General features: G+C 37.4%; 1 long non-coding RNA gene across 1 annotated transcript in view; it reads left to right on the forward strand.

The window, feature by feature from the left end:
* The first annotated feature begins 479 nt into the window (after positions 1-479).
* LOC101928516 (uncharacterized) overlaps positions 480-18,958 on the forward strand; it is a 621,277-nt gene continuing 602,798 nt past the window's right edge. Inside the window, exon 1 of the long non-coding RNA NR_110856.1 lies at positions 480-617. This is a non-coding gene — a long non-coding RNA (uncharacterized LOC101928516). The remainder of the gene's footprint in view (positions 618-18,958) is intronic.

Here is an 18,958-nt window from a genome sequence, read left to right on the forward strand (position 1 = left end):
CCAGTAGACTTATTTGTCCACAGAAAGTACACTTCTTCCCTTTTGCATTCTGAAATGAAATCTTGAATCTTTTGAGCTTTCAATTCTGTGCCCACTCTAAGGCTATAGGTGGGTTGAGGCTGAGAGGGACTGTAGGCCGCTCTTGGTGACAGCTGCTATGGTGGAAGGGGGCACTTGGCAGGGGTCCAGGGAGCAGGAAACCTCCAGTGATGGGGATGAGGTCATTCAAAAGTCACATGTTCTTGAGACACAGGCTGCGCGTACTAAACATCACCATAAAGTGATATCAGCCCTAAATTAAAGTAGCAGTTATTCATTTTTTATCTGAATCCCTAAGTCTTGTTCCATGAAACCAGGGAAGGGCTATTTGAAAGCATACTTTCTAGTACAGCTCTCACTGGCTTGAAAGATGAAACTCTCCTTAGTCATTCCAAAGCATTACTGCAGTCCAGATGTATAGTTCATATCTTCCAGCAAACGTCTGTGGGAATTATTTCCTCCCATTGGTATTAGATTATATTTTTCCAAGTCAACTCTTCCTGGCTGCCCTTCAAGGTTCTAAAGATTTTCTACTGTTGTAGTGTAACTAGTAAGAGGCAAAACCATGAGAATCAGAGGTAAGTGCTTATCAAAGGAATAGAACCAAGAGGACAAATTCTACTTAAACAATGCCATCCTTAAATGAGAGGTCAGTGGTTTGTATGTTTATAGGAATGTATCTAATCTATATCTGTATCTGTGTCTGTCTATATTTATACCTATATCATCAGACATACATATATGTGTGCATGTGAACACACGGCAGAGTTCTTTCAATAAAGTCAAATAAGAAAGTTAAACTATAGCTGAGTCTATACAAGTCCACAATCTTGATAAAAAGTTTAGCAGTAGTTAATTAAGCTGTTTTTGTGTACACAAACTACCCTGTATTAGATGTAATTGGGGAATATGAAATAGTGAGGATGAGGCTATTGAAAGACCTCAGGAGAAGATAAAAAATTTACTATGGAAGTCAGTCTTCCATAGGAAAGACCTGAAGTGAAAAAGAGTCTTGCTGGAAGATAATACTAGATGTGGCTTATTGAAGAGGAGATGTAAAAAATTCCAAGTAAAGGAACAGTAGAGGAAAAACACAAAGGCAGGTTGGCTGTGATTTGTGGGGGATGTCAGGAAAGTTGGTGAGACACAAATATAGGGGTCAGAGAGGACTGGTGAGACTGGTGGGGACACCGTGGTTACTTGGGTGAATATTTCCTCATTTTATGGGAATTTCAGGATGTTAATCATCCTTGGCCACTGAGTAATAAAAGGCAGTAGCTCTTTCCAGTCATTGTGACAACCAAAAATGTCCCACAAATTTCCAAACATCCTCCATGGGATATTTATCATCCTGTCTGAAGAACCACTGGGCTAGATAATGAGAGCTTCTGAATGCCAGGATGAAATGCCAGGATGCTGTCAGGTTTTTTGTGTGAAATAGTTCTGTTTTTATTTTCCTATTTCATTTATGTAAGTGTACGTAAAACTTTACTTTTCTTAATGGTATTTACAACCCATCCACATCTGTATTATCTGTGGCTAAATTCAATTCAGAGTTAATTCAAATTAATTATGATTCCTATGGCATCCGTTACATACTGCCTTAACCTTAGTTTATTGCTGTTTATAATTATCTTTATTTATAGCAGGTTTGGGTGAAACTTAGGGGAACCAAGGGGTTCATCAACATCTGGAACAATTTTTCAAAAATTTCGGATTTTCTAAAACCCAAACATGCTGCCAAGCACCTCTTCCCACCCTCTTTCTCTAAACTTTGAAAACACATATATTTTAGAGAACAGTGATTCCATGTGTTTTTAATTCATTTTAGTTTGTATCATCAAAATGTTTTTAAAAAGTGATTTGGCATCCAGGAAGCCCATTGAGCCTTTAAAATAAATAAACTTTTAACAACTTAAAAATACCATACAAATATATTGAAACAGCAAAAGGATAAAGTTTTCATGGAGACTGATTGAGATTGAAATTTGGCAAAATTATTTTTCCACATTGATTTATAGTGTTTCATCCAACTTCCAATCCAATCTGGAGAGAATGAATTGAGTTAGTTAATCTTAGAAAAAAAAAACTACCATATCAAATTCTCTTCACCAAGACATACATCATTAGGGAGAAAATATTTAAAAATCAACTTGAATCATGGTTTGTTAATTTTTAATATTGGGGATTTTTACTATATATCTGGTGATAATGATGTAAGAAACTTTTAGGATAAAATGGAAAATGTGAGAAGTAACAAGGATAATGTAATTTGAGAAGGAAAATAAATTTAGTTATGAGTTACTTATGATTGTGACAGAAGTCAGTGATTCCTATGATTTGAGAGAAGACTAAAGTTTAGCCTCTCTCTGTCTCTTTCTCACACACACACATGCACATACACACACACACACACATGCACAGAAAGAGAGAGAGAGAACTATGTAAATATCCTGGTCCATTTATTAAAGTAAATTCCACTACAGCAACTAGACTGAGGCAAAAGAGTTAAGTGATATAGAATAGATAACAGTCCTATTTAAGCCTGTCTATTTGAAGTAACTGATGAAAATTTTCAAGAGGATTACAGAGATGACTTTTGAGCATTTGAAAGTAAGAACTCTGGAGTTACTCTAAAGAATAGAGATAAACATTATTTAACAAAGTTGTGAAAAATGTCAAATATTATTGGTATGGTAATGGAAATTTAAATGAAATACCATTTTTTACTTCACATTAGAAAAGATGTTTATCTGAAGAATATCTTATGATCTCCCACATTATTCAAGGTCTCCAACAGGAACATTCATATGCTGCTGATAAAAATGTAAAATAAATTTGAAGATGCATATTGAGTCTAAAAATGTTAATGCAGTAGTCCTTCCTTATCCAAGGTTTTAATTTCTGTGGTTTCAGTTACCCTTGGTCAACCACAATCTGAAAATATTAAATGGAAAATTCCAGAAATAAACAATTCATAAGTTTTAAATTGTAAGCCATTCTGAGGAACATGATCAAATTTCTGCCATCCCATTCTGTCCTACCTGGGATGTGAATAATCCCTTTGTCTAGTGTATCCACCCTGTAGACACTACTTGTTAGTTACCTAGTAGCCGTTTTGGTGTCAGATTGACTGTTGTGATATCTCAGTGCTTGTGTTCAAATAACCTTTATTTTACTTAATAATTGCTTCAAAGTGCAAAAGTAGTGATGCTGGCATATTGTTATAATTTTTCTTTTTTTTAATAGTTGTTAATCTTTTACTGTTCCTAATTTTTATATGAAACTTTATCATATGTATGTTCGTATAGGAAAAAACAGTATATATGGGGTTCTGTACTATATCTGGTTTCAACCATCCACTTATCTCCAGTGGATAAGAGGGGGACTACTGTAATCTTTAACCCAGTAATTCTACTCTTGAGAATGATTATATGTTGAGCTGAGGCAAAAAAAATGTGAAACAATCTGAGTGTCTAAACATAAGGAAGGGTTAAACATAATGTCCACACAATGGAAAAATAATGTTTATGAAAGGCTTATGATAAATTAGAGATGTTTATGTAAAGTGCAATACAAAATATGATGGCAGTGTTTCAAGTTGCATAGAAGAAATATACAATATGCATAGAAGAAACATATGAAGTATAAAAGGAATAGTGATTTTATTCTATTCATTTCATAGCACTGAGTCAGAACTACTGGCAGAACTCTAGTATTCAATAGTTCCTAGCTTTATTTTAGCAGATAGTAAGTGCTCAGTAAATGAAGGCTATTTTTTATATTAAAGCTCTCAAATTAATTGCATGTAAAGTTATTTTTCTTCTTTAATAAAAAGGAAATTATTGGGGAAAAAGCAAGACTTTTCTCATAGCATTTGAGAATAAAAGTTACGTGGTTACCTAATTTTACAAGCTAAAGTTTCAGAAACATAAAGATATTTGAATAGAAAAATCTTCATACTTTAAATTACAATTTGAATTAGTTTTAATAATTGTGAAAATTAATTTCTTCACTGAAAGGTAAATTCTTACTATTAACATTTTTACTATGTGTAGTTGGCGTATTGAATTTGAGGGGCAAGTTGCGTGCCCTAGTCAAGCCAGACTGGACTACCATGGCCAATAGGAGCAAGAAGTCCAGTATATTCCCCTCCAAGGTCCAATTATTTTTCTTTTATACTCTTATGAGTCCCTATTTTCAGTGGTCTGGAAAGTGGAAGAGAATTCTCTGATTTATTCCTGGTTCAGTATGCCAGCTGTGGCAGAGGGTTCCTGTCTCCAGAGTAGAAGCTGCCTTCCTGGGCTGTGTTGGAAACAAGAAAGGTGGTGCAGAGTCCACTGTGCAGCAGTCATTCTGAGTTCTGAATCAATCCTGCTTGCTTCTGGAAAGGTGGACTCCCCCAGTTTCTAGGCTGCCTCTGATTTTAAAAAGAATTCCCCACAAACTTATCAGTGCCTTCAAGGTCAAAGTTCTATCAATTCCTGAGCCAAAGCATTTCCATGGGGGCAAAGGCTGCCTACAGGAGAGAATCAGGACAAGTTTTGATGTCCATCATCTTTCAGGTGAGTCATGACGATGAGCTGGGCTCCAGTGGAAATAAGCCAGTGAGTAAGGCTGATTAAGCAGCCAAGCTGTATCCTGAGGGAAACATGGGCAATGGAAAGCATCAGATTTCCTGGGTCAAAGCTATCCTGAGCTCAGGCACTGGGCTAACTGTCCCAGATTCAGCCCTTTCAGGGGAAGGAATGTAGATTCTTATTTCAGTCTCAAAGAAACTCTGTGCTTTAGAGAACTGAGTCTCCAGTGTTTCAACCCTGTCAGCATTCTGCACTACTATTAGGTTGAACTATATGAAATTGTTATTTTTGTAAGTCACCAATGGTTGGATGTTGGCAGTTTCATAAGGTTCATTCTAATAGTTCCTGGGACACAAATGACTCGAAGTAGGTCAAGACAGGTTCAGCACTTGTACTGTGCATGTTAATCTGAGTCCTCCAAGAAGCAGATGCTAAGATGGAACAAAACAGGCAAGGATTTTATTAGGAGGAAATGCCTGCATGTAAAAGAAGTAGGAAGAGAGTTGAGCCAGTCATCAGAATGTGATGCTAGTCTGACCTCAAGTGAAGGAGAGAGGGAGAGAAGGTTGGCTGCAAGCCGCCTAGATTTCTATATCGTCTCAGGAAACTTTAGGGGAGTTCTCTAGCCAAGTCAGCCAAAAAGAAGTCTCACGTCCCCTGGAGACAGGTCATTGGCAGGAAGCAGCCTATGAGAGATGTGGCCATGGCACAAATGCAGGGATAGGTTTCAGGGAGTGGTGGCTGGGGCCTCAGTCAAACACACTTTTTGTGGTTGGAAGCCCACCAGGTGTATTCTCATGCCTACCACACCCTGAGACTCAGAAGCACAGATGATGCCCTGATTCAGTCCAGGACTTGCTCTCTCCCTTCACTCTCTACCCTTGTTTTACCTGTATTTTAGGAGTCTTGTTGTTCATCGTTGCCTCATGAGGCCATCTAAATCTACCCTGACTTTTATGGAGAGGAAGTTGGTGACAGGTAATAGGACTGTGGTCCTTTCTATTATAGAAAATCATTGGCTCCTCACGCAAATCGACCCACCCCTTATTGGTGCTGTCTGTATCAGAGGAGTGAATGCTTTGACCAGTAAAACAAAAATCTCTAATTTTTTTATCTCCAAGCACAAGGTTCAGCATGACAAAAACCTGCAAAACTAATAGAGGCTCTTAAAATATGCTTTGGATGACCTTTCCAATGCCTGTGTAGAGCATCTAGCTGCTTTTTGTCCCTGTTGAAGGAGAAATTGCATCTGCTAGGGCTCCCAGCTGCATAGCTAACAGCTTATTAAAAGAAAACTCAAACAATAACAAAGTTAACACTTACCAAATGTGCAAGTAAAACCTTATATTATCAAATACCCTCTCTAAATATCATTTAGTTTTTATATAGTCAAAATGTGATATTTGAAAGTGAAATCTACATAGATCTATATCTTATAGATGTGCTAATGTGTTAGAAATACAACAGAATACACATTATGATGAAGTTTTTACTAGGAAAATTAAAATGGAAATTGAATAATTAGGTAAACCAAATTGAACACTATTTTCAGTCTAGCTTAGTTTCTTTGCTAATAGAAAGTGTGTATATTGGGAAAAAGAAGTTAACCAAGCTTTTTGGATAATTTTTCATTATGTGTCTACTTCCCTAGTATGAACCTAGTATTCTTTCGGGAGAATATTTTAACCAAGATCTTAAAAGGTACACATAAATTAAGCTTATGTGCAAAACAAAGACAGAAAAACTGTGGAAATAAATATTTAAAGGAAGAACTTGACTTCTTCTGTTTGAAAAGGAGATTAAAACTATCCACACAAAGCATCCGGGAGATCTGGCAAACATGCCCTGGCACTTTCCCTACACAAAAGACAGAGTCTTACACAATTCTTCCATTCACTCATGGGCTCATTTCTGTTGGCCACCCATGCTCCCCGAAGACAGCTTATGGAACTGGATTGCATCAGCAAGGCGTGATGGATGAGCAGGGACATCACCAGGGAGGGAGTACTCTGCCTTTGGCTTGGTTTAGTGTCAGATGTGAAGGAAAGAGGAGCAGTAAATTTGGAAACTATGTTGGAAGAAACTAAAATTTATTTTTAATCTCTGTAAGTTCCAAAGAAGGAATAAAACCTGCAAATTTGATAGTGAGATGATTGGGCTAATTTGTAATGTAATTCATCAAAACACAGGAACTGGAGTTCAGCCCTTCAGGCACGGGGAGATGCTTAGGAAAAATTGCATGTTAATTTCCCCATTTGGGATTTCTTATATAGACTTCAAATTCTAATTCTACAAGTGCAACTAGAAAGTCAGAAAAACTACAGTCTTCTGTAAACTTTGCTTTTTGATTCAGCTAGGTTTTCATATGATATTGGAAGAAAACCTCCGTGAATAGGGGGTTAAACAGAAATGAAAAGGATTTAACATATCAGCACATAAATTTAATTAAGGGCTAAAACCCAACAGTATCACAGAAAGCTTAAATGAACAAGCTTCAGAGGGATTTGCCAAATTAATTTTGTCAATGCTACCAATTAATGCTGCATTTAGAGCTGAGAGCTGTGAGGAGAGATTTTTGCAAGGATAATTGTGGGATTTCCTTGACTCTTGTGTCATCTTGCCACCAAGATTGTGCTTGTGTCGATTGGTTTTGTTGAATGCATTTTTGTGGCAATGTCTCCCTGCTTATTTTACAGTAATTCTCAGTAGGCTGTGCAAGGACCATACAATACTTCAGTGATGCTGTACTCTCATTTAGGAAAATAGGATCCTGAACTGCCAATTAAATTTATGCTAACTGAATCAAAGAAGGGCTTTTCATAACTATTTTGGCAATCAACATAAATTGTTGATGAGGTAGTATGTGGAAAGCCCTGTGCTGGTGATAATGGTGGATACAAAATTGCATCATTTATAGATCCTGTCCTTATTGACTTACAGTTCGTATGTAGGATAAGACATACCCAAATGACTAGAATAGAAAGTATAAAATGAAAAGTATTGCAAAAGAATTGTGGATGGTTTGAGAAAGTCAGAGGGGATGAGAGGTTACTTGCACATGTGATGGAAATAAAGCTCTCTTCAGAGATGAGGAAAGAAATTCAAGAGAGCAGAAGGTGTGAACAAATTGTGATGTTAAAAATGTCAGAGTATAGATTGCAATGAGCAAGTCATTCAATTGGGCTGGAGTAGAGGAGTCATTAAGAAGAGTAGGCAGAAAAAAAGTTGGAAAAATAGGATATTGGCCATGTCATAGGAGCTTGAGAACGGTAGAGAAAAGGGGGTTGGCTCTATAATAGATAGTGAAGAGCTAATGAATGTTTTTGAGCAGGCAAGTAGTTTATTCAGAATTGTGAGCAGGAAGAATATACTGTAAAGTGGTTTAGGACTGGAGGATATTCTGAGGGAGAGAGACTTATAGGAGGCCTTTCTAATATCATAGTTGAAGGGTGATAAGGACTAAACGACAGAGGAAGGGTTAACAGAGATAAGAATTATTTAGAAATATATTGCAGAATTGAAATGTATAGAATTTAGCTAAAACTTGGGGATGGAGGATAAGAGAAAAAAGTGAGAGGCTTGATGTAGTTTGGATATGTGTCCCTACTCAAATCTCATGTTGAATTGTAATCCCCAGTAATGGAGGCAGGGCCTGGTGGGAGGTGATCAGATTACGGAGATGGATTTCTCATGAATGGTTTAGCTCCCATCCTCTTGGTGCTGCCCTCTTGATAGGGACTTCTTGGGAGATCTGGCTGTTTAAAACTACATGGCACATTGCTGTCTCTCTCTTGCGCCTGCTTTCACAATGTGAAGCACCTGCTGCCACTTTGCCTCCTGACATGAGTAAAAGCTCCCTGAGGCCTCCCCAGAAGCAGCTGCCACCATGCTTTCTGTACAGCCTGCAGAATCATGAGCCAATTAAATTTCTTTTCTTATAAATTACTCAGTCTCAGGCATTTCTTTATAGCAATGTGAGAATGGATTAATACAGAGGTGATACCAGAATTTTAAATCTTGATGCCCTGGAAGATGGCCACACTATTAGTAAAACTGGAGAAGTCAAGAGGAGGAGCTGGATGAAGGGAGAAGGGGGAAAATATACTGAGTGTGAAGGGCAGATGGGATATGTGGACAGCTTCAGGAAGCAACTGGAAATACACAGCTGAAATATAAAAGAGAGAACTTGGCCTGGATTTCAGGTTTGGAGGCCATGTCTCTAGAAGTGTCAACTGAAGACAGGGGATTGAATAGATTGTTCAAAGGAATAAGGTAGTTGAGAAAGAGAAGTGAAAATGTTAAGGGCAAAAACTTGGATCATATACATTTCAGGAGTGAAAGAAAGGAAAAAGAGAAATCATCAGAGTTCTGGGAGGAGACCCAGAGAACAATGTCTCATTGGAAGCCAAGGGAAAAGAAGACAAAGAGAAGGTAATCAACAGGAGAGAAAGAATGAGAGAATGAGGGAAAAGACTATTGAATCTTGGTGTTCATTCATTTAGGCTTCAAGTCCTCTGGATTTTTCATTCGAAAGATTTCCTTTTTGGTCTGAATTATTCTTTTTGCAAATTAGCTTTGCCCTAACCTAGACAGCTTGCTCTCAAATTTGTTCTAAGAGACACAGTTGTGTTAATACTGTATAAAGCCTCATTTTCAACTTCCTCAGTAATAAATAATAACTATATGTTAATGTTTCTTATGGGCAAGCAATGCACTAAGTTCTTTATATGCATTTTCTTATTTGATTCTCATAAATAGGTGTGTCACTTTATTCTGACATTTAACAGATAAGGAAACTGAGCACAAAGAGGCTAAGTAATTTTCTTTTTTCATTATTTTTATTTTTGTTTATTTTTATTTTCAAATGAATCTGTATCTTTATTCATGGTTCAAGCATTATTTCCACTTAATTAAAAATGAACACATCCCCTGGAACTTAAAATAAAAGTTGGAAAAAAATGAATGCATCTTTAATCTTTTATGGTTACAGATATGATGGAAAAATTGTTTCTGCCTCAAAACCCTACTTTATAAATAATTAATGAAATGTAGACATGGATAAACATCTCTAAAATTGCATTTCCCAGGGATATATCTATTTAACTCCTGATTCTTTTTTTTTGAAGTAAATTTTTTTATTAATTAAATTCACGTTACATTATCAGTAAAATAATTTTTTCCTTAAATGGAAGATTTCTATCATCAAAGTAATAGTTAAAATTATAAGATTCAAAAAAGATTTTATGGATTTAATTTTTTTATTATTTATTATTATTATTATACTTTAAGTTCTAGGGTGCATGTGCACAACGTGCAGGTTTGTTACATATGTATACATGTGCCATATTGGTGTGCTGCACCCATTAACTTGTCATTTACTTTAGGTATATCTCCTAATGCTATCCCTCCCCCCACCCCCACCGCACAACAGGCCCTGGTGTGTGATGTTCACCGTCCTGTGTCTTAAGTGTTCTCATTGTTCAATTCCCACCTATGAGTGAGAACATGTGGTGTTTGTTTTTTTGTCTTTGCGATAGTTTGCTCAGAATGATGTTTTCCAGTTTCATCCATGTCCCTAAAAAAGACATGAACTCATCCTTTTTTATGGCTGCATAGTATTTCCTGGTGTATATGTGCCACATTTTCTTAATCCAGTCTATCATTGATGGACATTTGGGTTGGTTCCAAGTCTTTGCTATTGTGAATAGTGCTGCAATAAACATACGTGTGCATGTGTCTTTATAGCAGCATGATTTATAATCCTTTGGGTATATACCCAGTAATGGGATGGCTGGGTCAAATGGTATTTCTAGTTCTAGATCCTTGAGGAATCACCACACTGTCTTCCACAATGGTTGAACTAGTTTACAGTCCTACCAACAGTGTAAAAGTGTTCCTATTTCTCCACATCCTCTCCAGCACCTGTTGTTTCCTGACTTTTTAATGATCACCATTCTAACTGGTGTGATATGATATCTCATTGTAGTTTTGATTTGCATTTCTCTGATGGCAAGTGATGATGAATATTTTTTCATGTGTCTTTTGACTGCACAAATGTCTTCTTTTGAGAAGTGTCTATTCATATCCTTCGCCCACTTTTTAATGGGGTTGTTTGATTTTTTCTTGTAACTTTGTTTAAGTTCTTTGTAGATTTTGGATATTAGCCCTTTGTCAGATGGGTAGATTGCAAAAATGTTCTCCCATTCTGTAGGTTGCCTGCTCATCCTGATGGTGGTTTCTTTTGCTGTGCAGAAGCTCTTTAGTTTAATTAGATCTCATTTGCCAATTCTGGCTTTTGTTGCCATTGCTTTTGGTGTTTTAGACATGAAGTCCTTGCCCATGCCTATGTCCCGAATGGTATTGCCTAGGTTTTCTTCTAGGGTTTTTATGGTTTTAGGTCTAACATTTAAGTCTTTAATCCATCTCGAATTAATTTTTATATAAGATGTAAGGAAGGGATCCAGTTTCAGCTTTCTACATATGGCTAGCCAGTTTTCCCAGCACCATTTATTAAATAGGGAATCCTTTCCCCATTTCTTGTTTTTGTCAGGTTTGTCAAAATCAGATGGTTGTAGATATGTGGTATTATTTCTGAGGGCTCTATTCTGTTCCATTGGTCTATATCTCTGTTTTGGTACCAGTACCATGCTGTTTTGGTTACTGTAGCCTTGTAGTATAGTTTGAAGTCAGGTAGTGTGATGCTTTCAGCTTTGTTCTTTTGGCTTAGGATTGTCTTGGCAATGCGGGCCCTTTTTTGGTTCCATATGAACTTTAAACTTTAAAAAACTTTAAAGTTTTTTCCAATTCTGTGAAGAAAGTCATTGGTAGCTTGATGGGGATGGCATTGAATCTATAAATTACCTTGGGCAGTATGGCCATTTTCACCATATTGATTTTTCCTCTCCATAAGCATGGAATGTTCTTCCATTTGTTTGTGTCCTCTTTTATTTCGTTGAGCAGTGATTTGTAGCTTTCCTTGAAGAGGTCCTTCACATCCCTTGTAAGTTGGATTTCTAGGTATTTTATTCTCTTTGAAGCAATTGTGAATGGGAGTTCACTCATGATTTTGCTCTCTGTCTGTTATTGGTGTATAGGGATGCTTGTGATTTTTGCACAGTGATTTTGTATCCTGGGACTTTGCTGAAGTTGCTTATCAGCTTAAGTAGATTTTGGGCTGAGAAGGTGGGGTTTTCTCTTTCTTTTTTTTTTTTTGAGACGGAGTCTGGCTCTGTCGCCCAGGCTGGAGTGCAGTGTCGCAATCTCGGCTCACTGCAAGCTCCGCCTCTCGGGTTCACGCCATTCTCCTGCCTCACCCTCCCGAGTAGCTCGGACTACAGTTGCCCGCCACCATGCCCGATGATGGGGTTTTCTAAATATACAATCATGTCATCTGCAAACAGGGACAATTTGACTTCCTCTTTTCCTAATTGAATACCCTTTATTTCTTTCTCCTGCCTGATTGCCCTGGCCAGAACTTCCAACACTATGTTGAATAGGAGTGGCGAGAGCGGGCATCCCTGTCTTGTGCCAGTTTTCAAAGGGAATGCTTCCAGTTTTTGCCTATTCAGTATGATATTGGCTGTGGGTTTATCATAAGTAGCTCTTATTATTTTTAGAGACATCCTGTCAATACATAGTTTATTGAGAGTTTTTAGCATGAAGCACTGTTGAATTTTGTCAAAGGCCTTTTCTGCATCTATTGAAATAATCATGTGGTTTTTTCATTGGTTCTGTTTATATGCTGGATTACGTTTATTGATTTGTGTATGTTGAAACAGCCTTGCATCCCAGGGATGAAGCCCACTTGATCATGGTGGAAAAGCTTTTTGATGTGCTGCTGGATTCGGTTTGCCATTATTTTGTTGAGGATTTTTGCATCGATGTTCATCGGGATATTGGTCTAAAATTCTCTTTTTTTGTTGTGTCTCTGCCAGGCTTTGGTATCAGGATGATGCTGGCCTCATAAAATGAGTTAAGGAGGATTCCGTGTTCTTCTATTGATTGGAATAGTTTCAGAAGGAATGGTACCAGCTCCTCCTTGTACCTCTGGTAGAATTCGGCTGTGAATCCATCTGGTCTTGGACTTTTTTTGGTTGGTAGGCTATTAATTATTGCCTCAATTTCAGAGCCTGTTATTGGTCTATTCAGAGATTCAACTTCTTCCTGGTTTAGTCTTGGGAGGGTGTATGTGTCCAGGAATTTATCCATTTCTTCTAGATTTTCTAGTTATTTGCATAGAGATGTTTATAGTATTCTCTGATGGTAGTTTGTATTTCTGTGAGATCAGTGGTGATAGCCCTTTATCTTGTTTTTTTGTGTGTTTATTTGATTCTTCTCGTCTTCTTTCTTAGTCTTGCTAGCGGTCTGTCAATTTTGTTGATCTTTTCAAAAAACCAGCTCCTGGATTCATTGATTTTTTGAAGGGTTTTTTGTGTCTCTGTCTCCTTCAGTTCTGCTCTGATCTTTGTTATTTCTTGCCTTCTGCTAGCTTTTGAATGTGTTTGCCCTTCTTCTCTAGTTCTTTTAATTGTGATGTTAGGGTGTTGATTTTAAATCTTTCCTGCTTTCTCTTGTGGGCATTTAGTGCTATAAGTTTCCTCTACACACTGCTTTAAATGTGTCCCAGAGATTGTGGTGTGTTGTGTCTTTGTTCTCATTGGTTTCAAAGAACATCTTTATTTCTGCCTTCATTTCATTATGTACCCAGTAGTCATTCAGGAGCAGGTTGTTCAGTTTCCATGTAGTTGAGTGGTTTTGAGTGAGTTTCTTAATCCTGAGTTCTAGTTTGATTGCACTGTGGTCTGAGAGACAGTTTGTTATAATTTCTGTTCTTTTACATTTGCTGAGGAGTGCTTTACTTCCAACTATGGGGTCAATTTTGGAATAAGTGTGGTGTGGTGCTGAGAAGAATGTATATTCTGTTGATTTGGGGTGGAGAGTTCTGTAGATGTCTGTTAGGTCTGCTTGGTACAGAGCTGAGTTCAATTCCTGGATATCCTTGTTAACTTTCTGTCTCAATCTGTCTAACGTTGACAGTGGGGTATTAAAGTCTCCCATTATTATTGTGTAGGAGTCTAAGTCTCTTTGTAGGTCTCTCAGGCCTTGCTTTATGAATCTGGGTGCTCCTGTGTTGGGTGCATATATATTTAGGATAGTTAGCTCTTCTTGTTGAATTGATCCCTTTACCATTATGTAATGGCCTTCTTTGTCTCTTCTGATCTTTGTTGGTTTAAAGTCTGTTTTATCAGAGACTAGGATTGCAACCCCTGCTTTTTTTTTGCTTTCCATTTTTGGTAGATCTTCCTCCATCCCTTTATTTTGGGCCTATGTGTTTCTCTGCATGTGAGATGGGTCTCCTCAATACAACACACTGATGGGTCTTGACTCTTTATCCAACTTGCCAGTCTGTGTCTTTTAATTGGAGCATTTTGTCCATTTACATTTAAAATTAATATTGTTATGTGTGAATTTGATCCTGTCATTACAATGTTAGCTGGTTATTTTGCTCTTTAGTTGACGCATTTTCTTCCTAGCCTCAATGGTCTTTACACTTTGGCATGTTTTTGCAGTGGCTGGTACCGGTTGTTCCTTTCCATGTTTAGTGCTTCCTTCAGGAGCTCTTTTAGGGCAGGCCTGGGTGGTGACAAAATCTCTCAGCATTTGCTTGTCTGTAAGGGATTTTATTTCTCTTTCACTTATGAAGCTTAGTTTGGCTGGATATGAAATTCTGGGTTTAAAATTCTTTTCTTGAAGAATGTTGAATATTGGCCCCCACTCTCTTCTGGCTTGTAGGGTTTCTGCCGAGAGATCCTCTGTTAGTCTGATGGGCTGCCCTTTGTGGATAACCCGACCTTTCTCTCTAGCTGCCCTTAAGATTTTTTCCTTCATTTCAACTTTGGTGAATCTGACAATTATGTGTCTTGGAGTTGCTCTTCTTTAGGAATATCTTTGTGGTGTTCTCTGTATTTCCTGAATTTCAATGTTGGCCTGCCTCCCTAGGTTGTGGAAGTTTTCCTGGATAATATCCTGAAGAATGTTTTCCAAGTTGGTTCCATTCTCCCCGTCACTTTCAGGTACACCAATCAGATGTAGATTTGGTCTTTTCACATAGTCCCATATTTCTTGGAGGCTTTTTTCATTTATTTTTACTATTTTTTCTCTAAACTTCTCTTCTTGCTTCATTTCATTCATTTGATCTTCAGTCACTGATACCCTGTCTTCTAGTTGATCGAATTGGCTACTGGAGCTTGTGCATGCATCATGTAGTTCTAATGTCATGGTTTTCAGCTCCATCAGGTCATTTAAGATCTTCTTTACGCTGTTTATTCTAGTTAGCCATTCGTCTAACCGTTTTTCAGGGTTTTTAGCTTCTTTGCAATGGGCTCAAACATCCTCCTTTAGCTTGGAGAAGTGTGTTATTACCGATGGTCTGAAGCCTACTTCTGTCAACTTGTCAAAGTCATTCTCCATCCAGCTTCGTTCTGTTGCTGGCGAGGAGCTGTGTTCCTTTGGAGGAGAAGAGGTCCTCTGATTTTTAGAATTTTTAGCTTTTCTGCTCTGGTTTCTCCCCATCTTTGTGGTTTTGTCTACCTTTGGTTTTTGATGATGGTGACGTGCAGATGGGGTTTTTGTGTGGATGTCCTTTCTGTTTGTTAGTTTTCCTTCTAAGAGTCAGAACCCTCAGCTGCAGGTCTGTTGGAGTTTGCTGGAGGTCCACTGCAGACACTGTTTGCCTGGGTATCACCAGCGGAGGCTGCAGAACAGCAAATATTGCAGAACAGCCAATGTTGCTGTCGGATCCTTCCTCTGGAAGCTTTGTCTCAGAGGGGCACCGGGCTATATGAGGTGTCAGTTGGCCCCTACTGGGAGGTGCCTCCCATTTAGGCTACTCGGGGGTCAGGGACCCACTTGAAGAGGCAGTTTGTCCTTTCTCAGATCTCAAACTCTGTGCTGGGAGAACCACTACTCTCTTCAAAGCTATCAGACAGGGACATTTAAGTCTGCAGAATTTTCTGCTGCCTTTTGTTCAGCTATGCCCTGCCCCCAGAGGTTGAGTCTATAGAGGCAGGCAGGCCTCCTTGAGCTGCGGTGGGCTCCACCCAGTTCGAGCTTCCTGGCTGCTTTGTTTACCTACTCAAGCCTCAGCAATGGTGGGCACCCCTCCCTCAGCCTGGCTGCCATCACCTTTCAGTTCCATCTCAGACTGCTGTGCTAGCAGTGAGCAAGGCTCCGTGGGTGTGGGACCCTCCAAGCCATGAGCGGGATATAATCTCCTGGTGTGCTCTTTGCTCAGTTGGAAATGTAGAAATCACTCGTCTTCTGTGTCACTCACGCTGGGAGCTGTAGACTGGAGCTCTTCCTATTCGGCCATCTTGGAACCTACAACCTATTATTTTTATTTTTTAATTTTATTTTTTTAAGAGCAGTTTTAGGTTTACAGTAAAATTGAGAGGAAGTACAGTGATTTTCCATACACTCCTGCCTGCACACATGCATAGCCTCCCACATGATCATCATCCATCACCAAAGAGTACATTTGTTGCAATTGATGAACCTACATTGTCACATCATAATCATTCAAAGTCCATATTTTACCTTAGAGTTCACTCTTAGTAGTGTACATTCTATAGGTTTGGACAAATGTATAGTGACAAATAGTCATCATTAAAGCATCATAAAGACTATTTTCACTGCCCTAAAAAGTCTCTGTGCTTCACCTACTCATCCCTTGGCTCCACCCCTGGATCATTTTACGATTGCCATAGTTTTGAGGCTAAGTGATTTTCCTAATATTTATAGACTCAGGAGGTACATGTGCAAGTTTGCTACATGGATATATTGTGTAATGGTGAAGTTTGGGCTTCCAGTGCACCCATCACCTGAAGAGTGAATATTGTACCCAATAGGTAATTTTTCAACCCTTACCCCCCTTCCTTTTTCTCCCCGCCAGCTTAGGTAATTTGTCCACGATCTGATAATTGATCAATGAACAAGTTTCTCCATCTCTTAGTCCTAACCCTTAACTACTAGTCTACATTATTTTCTTTGCTTGTGTGTATGCCTTTACACACATAAAAGTACCAAAAACCTGTAAAAAAAGTGTATTTGTGACATTGGTAGGCATAGTATTGTAGTTAAGATGTTTTGTAATAGAAGGTTAAGTTGCTTCCTTGATAATGTTTATATATATTTTCTTTCAATACAAATTTCTTTTTTAGCTCTTTCTTATTTTTTCTCATACATGTCATATGAATCAAATATTCATTTAATAATGAAAGTCAGATACATCATGTTTTTATAATACCAAAATCTGGAAATAGCCAAGAGAGTTTGGATTTAATATAACGCATGGAATATTAATGGAAAAAAATCAATTTTTTAAATCCTGATGTTTCAGAAATGTGACATCAGGTCCTCGTTCACAATTTATAAAGCTCAGAAATCTGGCACTTTGGGCTCACAGAAAAGATGAACCGAAACATTACTAGTAAGCTCAAAATATCCAAGGAAACGGCAAATGTGTATGCTATGAAGAACTCTAGAGAGAAAGAAGCAGCAAAATCATTTCTCATTTTTAGAAGCAATAAAATATTTTTAGAAAGACCACATTTTGATTGACTCTCTAGTTATAACTTTTATGACTAGAGAATTATTTGAATCATATGGTGATTTTTAAAAAATAAAGTTCTGCTTCCCTATCCCTGAAAAAATCAACATCCATCACCAAAGAGTACATTTGTTGCAAATGATGAACCTATGTTGTCACATCAAACTGGATGCTTATCAAACTGGTTGGTTACTTGGGCAAATACTCATATCCATCCAGAAACAGGTTACACAGAGTATGAATTATCTTGATCTCTCCTCCCCCTCTGCCTCTCTCTCTTCCTCGCTTTCACTCTTTTACCATGCTGATTTCTCTTTTCTTAACTTCAGTGATCCCCAAGAAGGTAATATAGAGTAATCTAGTTTTGGTAATCATTGCTCAAGTAGAGGGGATTTAAAAGTCTGTAATCTCTCTCCTCCTTAGCATAGCTGAATAAAAAATGAGCTGTTCTAATGCTTTGATAGCATTCATCTGTACCAAGCAGCCAATGTATCTGATACCACCTGCAATTCAGGTTTACACAATGTGAATTTTCACTTGATACAATTACACTTCTTTATTGCTTTGAAGATGGCATAGCAGACTTACCCACTTGATTGTTCAGGAAAGATGAAGATTGATGCTATAACTTTATCCCAGTCACTCATTGACAGCACATAAGAGTGACTATACAATGTCTGGTACTGTGAGTTCAAAGACATGGCTCCTATTTATAGTAGCTATGACCTCAGGTGTCCTGATCTTAAGTATAAAAACCCGTATGTATGTAATAATGTCTTATATTAACCAAACTTCTCTTTACTGTGTCTTGTATGCATTTGGCCTCAGAGTTGTATTTAGAGAGAAAACCTCCAAAACATGGAGATTTGGGAAAGGAGATGTGTGTGAATATTTGGGAAAGAAGTCTGTTTTGGAAGGCATTATTTTATTATTCTATCCAACCTTATTTTAAAAATACAGAAATAACCTCTAAGCTAGAACTGGGCTGTCTTAGTAAGCTTTTCATAAATACTGTTCAATTTTATTGAGCAGTCATAGAAGCTTAATTTGTACCTTAGTGTTTAGTGAAAACTGAATATTTAAAAGGTTAATCAAGTCATCTTTATATCCTCAATATCTAGCAACTATTTGTTCTTTGAATGAATGAAACTATGTGGTTCTCTAATATTAGAGACAGAACAAAGGAAAATGAACTTACATGGTTTTTTCTCCCCTTTGGGAGAAATATTTAACATGCTACAGAGAACCTATAGTTTTTAAAGATCCTCAGACCTTTAATAAAACCCTTTTTGCTTAGATTCAAGCAATTTTTATACTTTTGCTTTCATTAAAGCATATATTGAGCTTTGGAAACATATGAGAATTAAGTGGAATCACATAATATGAATTATGTTAGTTTTAGAAATATATTTTGTAACTGTCATGTTTTCTTTCATTCACCTCATTAATTTGAATTATTAAAATGTTATATTTATGTATATAACTTTCTTCTTACATATATGTAGTCTGTGCTCTTTATCTCACAAAGATCAATTGAGGATTTAAAAAATTTAAGTATCGCTGCTTGTAAGCAGTGAAACTATATTAATAGAAAAAACATCACAGAAAATAATTGGAAGATATAATTTAAATTAATTTATATAACCTAATTAAAAATAATTTTAAATAAATACCAGGTAAACTGTCTAGTAACAACTTCTCTTAGATAGGGATATGATTTTCCTGACATAAC

Source organism: Homo sapiens, chromosome 6 (genome assembly GCF_000001405.40).
Source record: "Homo sapiens chromosome 6, GRCh38.p14 Primary Assembly".
NCBI classification, from domain to species: domain Eukaryota; kingdom Metazoa; phylum Chordata; class Mammalia; order Primates; family Hominidae; genus Homo; species Homo sapiens.